General features: G+C 47.3%; 2 annotated features.

The window, feature by feature from the left end:
• Positions 1,250–1,299: an enhancer, noted in NCBI's record as "active region_10575". NCBI's record gives its function as "activates an Ori minimal core promoter by ATAC-STARR-seq in GM12878 lymphoblastoid cells {active_cell/tissue: GM12878}" and the evidence as "EXISTENCE:reporter gene assay evidence [ECO:0000049][PMID:35858748]".
• Positions 5,785–6,295: an enhancer, noted in NCBI's record as "OCT4-NANOG hESC enhancer chr16:22964872-22965382 (GRCh37/hg19 assembly coordinates)". NCBI's record gives its function as "activates a minimal SCP1, AML or CMV promoter by ChIP-STARR-seq in primed H9 embryonic stem cells {active_cell/tissue: H9 hESC(primed)}" and the evidence as "EXISTENCE:reporter gene assay evidence [ECO:0000049][PMID:30033119]".

Consider the following 6,723-nt stretch of genomic DNA (forward strand, 5'->3'; position numbering starts at 1 on the left):
AGAGGCAAAGCTTGAATCACCCCTAAGTGTGTTGGGTGCAGGGCTGATGCTGGCAGCTCTCATGTTATTATGACAGCACCCCCTAATGTGACACCAACCCCTGTCTGGACCTTCAGCAGAAACGGGATAATGAGGGCTGCTTCTGGTTGGAGTTGCAGCCCCTTTCAGCTCCAGAATCCAAGTTCCACTTTTCTGAGCCCATCCTCCAAACACTTCCAACCACCCCAAGAGTTCCTAGGATCTGGGGGCTCCAGGTGGAGTCTCCTCCTTCCCCAGCATTCCGCGGGACTGGGAGGACTTGTCGTGGCCTGGCTTCCAGAGCATGCCTTTTGGCATGGCCGATCCCCAGCGGACCCTCCACCCCGACCGCACTGCACTCAGGGTCGTGCAGGTCCAGCACTCCAGTCCTGTCCTCCCCGGGTGAGGATTGATCCCGGCGCTTCCCTCAGCCACCTCTGTCGAGAGATGCAATTTACCACCAGCTCGGAGGTCACCGTAGAGGAACCCGGCCGCCTGCAGGCGCTTTTCTGCTGCTGCAAAAACCACTGAAAGGGCCACTTTGTGAGCCGCAGCGCTGCTTTCACAATCAGAGGAGCAGCCATGGGTCCGCAAGCTCTGGAGCCTCCTTGCGACTCCCCAGTAGGCTCGAAATCCCAGAAACCTCGGCTGCACCCCGCTCCGCGCATTCAGGAGAGGCTATGCCAGGACTGGCGGGCAGAGCGCAGCCTGCACGCGCGCCCCATGGCGCAGGATGGGGAGGAAGACGCCACAGAGACCTGCCGACACTCGTCATCCCTAAGCTGCCTGCACCCCTGCTTTGGGCCAGGCATGCCTGAGCGACTCACTCCCCTTTCGATCTTTGTATTAATAGCAGCTCTGTGAGGGAGCAGGTACTGTTACTATCGTGCCCATTTCTCAGAGGGCAAAACTGAGGCTCTGGGAAGTTAAATGACTTTCCGGAGGTTTCTCAGCAGGAAGGAGCAAAAACCTGGATTTAAACTCGAATAGTTCAACTCCAGAACCAATGGTTTTAAGGTAATCCCGGGTGACTCCACAGCACCCACAGTTTGATAAAGATAAAGTCACGATTTCAGCCTCAAAAGCCAACTGCACAGGGATCATGCGCCACGTGGCTTAACAGCAACAAAGGTGACAGATCCTTGGCCATAAGCCCTTCCCACTCTGGTCGCCTGTTCAACTGCGCCACCTACAGGTTGAGTTGCTCACTGTTTCTTTGGAGCCACATGGAGTTCGTTCATTCCTTCCTTCGTTCGTTCGTTCATTCATTCATTCATTCATTCATTTGACGTGTCATTCCACAGACATTTATTAATTTCTGTTCTGAGCCAGGAGCACGGAACTGGGCAGGATGCTGGGGTACAAAAGATGTCTATAGTCTAGCACAGGAGACAGACAAACTACCATAATACAGGATCAACTGATAGTGAAAAGGGAGAGAAGGAAGGAGGGCTGCCTGGAGGAGCAGTCTTTTCAGTTAAGATCTGAAGGATGAGTAGAAGTTATCCAGGCAAAGTATGGTCAAGAAGTGTGTACCAGGGCCAGGCACAGTGGCTCACGCCTGTAATCCCAGCACTTTCAGAGGCCAAGGCGGGAGGATGACTTGATGCCAGAAGTTCCAGACCAGACTGGGTGACACAGTAAGATCCTGCCTCTACAAAACAAATTTTTAAAAAATTAGCCAAGCATAGTGGCTCACATCTGTGGTCCTAGTTATTCAGGAGGCTGAAGTGGGAGGATCACTTGAGCCCAGGAGTTGGAGGCTACAGTGAGCTATGATTGTACCACTGCACTCCAGCCTAGGTGACAGAGCAAGACCCTGTCAAAAGAAAGAAAAGGAAAGAAGGAAGGAAGGAAGGAGGGGAAGGAGGGGAAAGAGGGGAAGGAAGGAAGGAAGGAAGGAAAGAAGGACAGAAGGAAGGAAGGGAGGGAGGGAGGGAGAGAAGGAAGGAAGGGAGGGAGGAAGGAAGGAAGGAAGAGAAATATGTTCCAGGCAGAAGAAACAGCATGGATGAAGACCCCAGGGTGAGCACAGACACAGCACAGACTCTCAGTCCTCAGTTATAAGAGGAACCAAGCCAAGTTCCACGTGACTGACACACAAAGTAAGAGATGCCAATGAGTGGCTTCCATGTTTTCTGTCATCTCACTGCCTCCATTATTTGAGATGGCCAATCGAGGTTGTCTCAGCCTTATGCAAAGCATAATGCAAGTATAGTTTGAGGCAAGGGTGCAGTCATAGCTCATGGTAACCTCAAAACAGCCTGCCTTCTACACAGGAAAACCTGAGCCCCCTCTGGAGAGAGGAAGAGTGGTAAGAAGTGGTGGGGGAGGAGAGCAGCTCATAATGGGTCTTGCAAGTCAGGTTAGCTCATTTGGCCTTTTTTGAGCAAATGGCAAATGGCAAATCATTAAATGTGTGGTGATAGGACACTAGACCAGCTTCTCCTTCTCACTGGAGAACTCTGGGAACAGAGAGACCGCTTGGCTGCCTTTAGGTTCCTAGGAAGCCTGGACCAACAAATGCATGCTTCTCAGTTTGGAACTTGTAACTGAGTCCAGACTTGGACCGCTCACTGCGTAACAGCCAGTAAGTTGAGAGACAAGTAGTCAGAGCAAGGAAAGCGACTGTATTTTGGAAAGCCAGCAAGCTGAGAAGACGGCAGACCAATGTCCTAAGAAGCTGCCTTAAAAGGCATGAATCTGGGCTGGGCACGGTGGCTCACGCCTGTAATCCCAGCACTTTGGGAGGCTGAGGCAGGCGGATCATGAGGTCAGGAGATCGAGACGATCCTGGCAAACACGGTGAAACCCCGTCTCTACTAAAAATACAAAATTAGCTGGGCATGGTGGCACGCACCTGTACTCTCAGCTACTTAGGAGGCTGAGGCAGGAGAATCGCTTGAACCAGGGAGTCAGAGGTTGCAGTGAGCCAAGATCGCCACTGGACTTGAGCCTGGTGACAGAGCGAGACTCCGTCTCAAAAAAATAAAAAAATAAAAATAAAAAAGGCATGAATCTGAAGCTTCTTTTTATATTGGGGAAGGGGGAACAAGGTGGGGTTGAGCTCAGTGGGAACTGGTGACCACAGACATCTGGGCATCAGCAGGAGTCCGAGGAGGTTGCAGAACTTCTTTGTCCTTGGTCAGATCACGATGCCCCTATAAATATTTAATTCAACATTGTTGTTTGTATGTACATCCTCATCTCCTTGGGTTTTAGTTTTGGGAAGGGGCCACTCTCATCCTTGCTTTGAAATTAAATTAGAAACAACATTTGTCCCATAGTTAGCTTGGCCTATGTGCAGGATTGAGCAAAGGCAGTTCTCTTGTGAGGTTAGAAGCAAGATGGAGCCAGCTACGTCAGATTTCTGTCACTGTTACAAAATCATATGACTTCTTTTTTCGAGGGCGGAGGAGGATGTTGAAGGCAGTCGCTCTAAAGGCCAGGAAAGGAGAGGATGTTTCTGCCCATTGCCATTGGTCTATCAGCACCCATTGTCCCCTGGAGCAGGACCCGAGGGAAGGACTCAGTCCAGAGCTGCTCACACTTTGCCAACCTTGCCCCAACCATCTCCAGCTGCCTCATAAGCCTCCTTCTCCTAATAGAGACCAAGGGGCCCCTGCAACAGAGATACCCCAACTTCCTCCTCTCTGCAACCAGATTCTTGAGCATCTTCCTGCTCTCCTTCCAGACCTCGTCTCCACTCCAGGAGAAGCATCTCCTCTTTTCCTTTGAGTCTAACTTCTCTGTCCTGTTTTCCAAGACTGACTTCCACCTATTGTCCCATCTCTCTTGAGTCTTCAATATTTTTTTCATCCTCCCCCTGCCAATGGGCATACTTAAGTTTCCAGAATTAAACAAACAACTCTTTTTTTCATCCTGGCCACCATCTTTCCTTTTCTCTCTCCTTTTCTCTACTGTCACACTTTTCTCCACAAAAGCAACCTCTGTTCATGGCCCTGCTTCCTCATGCTAGGGAAGTTTGTGTAACATCAACAAGGCTACCACTCCTTAAGCATTCCCTATCTGCCAGTTCTGTGTCACTTTGTATACATCGAGCTCATTCATTTCTAATACAGCCATGTGAATTTTGATCATCCTCATTTTACAGATAGGGAAACTGAGGCTCAGGGGAGGGACAATGAAGTCAATTGCTTAGTCATACTACTGGCTCCAAAGCCTGCCTCTAACCACTCTGCTCCACTGCCCTAATGGGCATCCTATGAGAGTAGCCGCCTGTCATTCCTTGATGTATCCCTAGTATACTTGAGGCATTCAGTAAATATTTAGTGACTGAATCAATGTTCAAATACTTTAATGACTTTTTGCCAGCTTGTCTAGAGGCCTTTCCTGCAAAGTTTTATAATTTAGTCATAAATATATTTGGTTGTAATGTTATATGTTTCATTATGTCTCGTGATCCCAAAATTACTTTATGAATTAAATATCTTGAAAAATAGAGTGGAATTCAATACAATTCTGAACCCATCTACCACATGTCTTCATCCTTGCTGTCAAAATGCCAGTGCCTTCTTAAACAGGAGAGAACATTGACTACATACAAACTTGGTTTAGCTCATGAAGTTTACTCAGACATGCATAGTACAAAACAAAAAAAAATCAAGGAGACAAAAATAATCAAAAGGGATGAATTTAGTAAATCCTGTACAAAATGCTGCAGGTCTGAAAATATTTATTGGAAGAAATATACACATTCAAGAGAGGTTATTCAGCAGACAGAAGAGAAAAAAGGCACCACAAAGATAAAGTGGTACAAATTTGGAAAAATGTTTCACAGAAGTAAAAAATTGTTTGAAATTCCTTTAGGCAAAGTGAAGAAAATATCCTTTCATTTATAAGACCAGGAAACCAAGTGACTGGCTGCAGATAAATGAGCTAGTGTCAATCAGAATGGGTTAAGTCCTGCTGCAGGAACAATCTCAAATCTTAGTGGCTTGACACAGCGAAGGTTATTTCTTGTTCATTTCACATTTCCAGCACAGGTTGATAACTGCTCCATGTTATCTTAATTCTGGGACTCTGGTTGATAGCACATCCTCTACTTAAAATATTACTAAGAGAGGCCGAGCGTGGTGCCTTACGCCTGTAATCCCAGCACTTTGGGAGGCTGAGGCGGGAGGATCACAAGGTCAGGAGTTCAAGACCAGCTTGGCCAACATAGTGAAACCGCATCTCTACTAAAAATACAAAAAAATTAGCCAGGCATGGTGGTGCGTGCCTGTAGTCCCAGCTACTAGGGAGGCTGAGGCAGGAGAATCACTTGAACCTGGGAAGCAGAGGCTGCAGTGAGCTGAGATCAAGCCACTGCACTCCAGCCTGGGTGACAAAGCGAGACTCCATCTCAAAAAAAATAAAAAAAAAAAAGAATACGACGAAGAGGTTCTTAACTGTGTACTAGCTTTTAATGGTTCTGCTTAGAAGTGACACAAGTCATTTCTGCTTACATTTAATTGACCAAAGCAAATTTCGTGGCTAAGAAGGAATGATTGGGCTCCTGGCAATCTCTGCAATATTGTTCTCCACCTTGCTGCCACAATCCTGAATGTGGACACATCTGCCTTCTCCTACCCTCCCCTACTGGCCTTTGTGGTGCTACCCTGTCTTGCTATGTCCATCTTTGCATCAAGACTTCTGGGTCTTGGAGGCTGGCCTCTCTTCCTCCTCCTTTACCCCAAAGTGCTTCTCAGCTTTCTGCTCTCCTTGCCCAGAGGTGACATGTAAGCCACATCCAGCAAAAAAGATGTGTTTTGTTTGGCCCATACAGGGTTGCTCATATTGTTTGTAATTTGTTCCCAATATTTAAAAACCAAACTGAATGCTCTTCTTCAATTAATTGGAGGATCTGGCCACACTGGACCACATTCCTTTGTGGACACAGGTAGCTCAGCTGAGTAAAGCTGGCCCTGTAGAGGAAGCAGGTGCTTGCATCTCTCCCTGGGCCCACCTGGTCCGCTGATGCTACTTATGTTACTGAATAAGCCACCCGGGAGCTCCAGATTTCCCCCCTGGGAAGGGGGAATCGCCTTAATTTAGTTGGTATCTACATGCAAATGACAATTTAAATCACAGTGCAGTCATGATCTCTTACCTGCATTTCAAGCCTGGATTTCTAACATCTATTAATCCTTCCTGCTCCCAAGACCATTTCGATGTGGCTCATGATTCTGCCATGTTCAAAACTATGGGCCTCAGGTGAGTTACTTAATCTCTATAACTCCTTAACTCATATGTAAAAATAAGAAAACGAAGTTACTATAAGACATAGGAACTTTACGACCCCCTGGTAGGATGCACTGAGATGAACACAACCTCATGTTGGTGGAATCCTTGTCTAAAATGCACAAGCACAATTTAATCATGAGAAAACATCAGACAAACCCAGATTGAGAGACAGTCTACAAAATAACTGACCAGTGCTCATCAAAAGTGTCAAGGTCATGAAAGACAAGAAATGGCACAGCCTGGAGGAAACCAAGGAGGCACAACAATTAAATGCAGTGTGGGCTGGGCGTGGTGGCTGACGCCTGTAATCACAGTACTTTGGGAGGCCAAGGCAGGTGGATCACTTGAGGTCAGGAGTTCGAGACCAGCCTAGCCAATGCAGTGAAACCCTGTCTCTACTAAAAATACAAAAAATTAGCCTGGCATGGTGGTGCACGCCTGTAATCCCAGCTACTCGGG

This window comes from Homo sapiens, chromosome 16 (assembly GCF_000001405.40).
Source record: "Homo sapiens chromosome 16, GRCh38.p14 Primary Assembly".
Classification (NCBI taxonomy): Eukaryota; Metazoa; Chordata; class Mammalia; order Primates; family Hominidae; genus Homo; species Homo sapiens.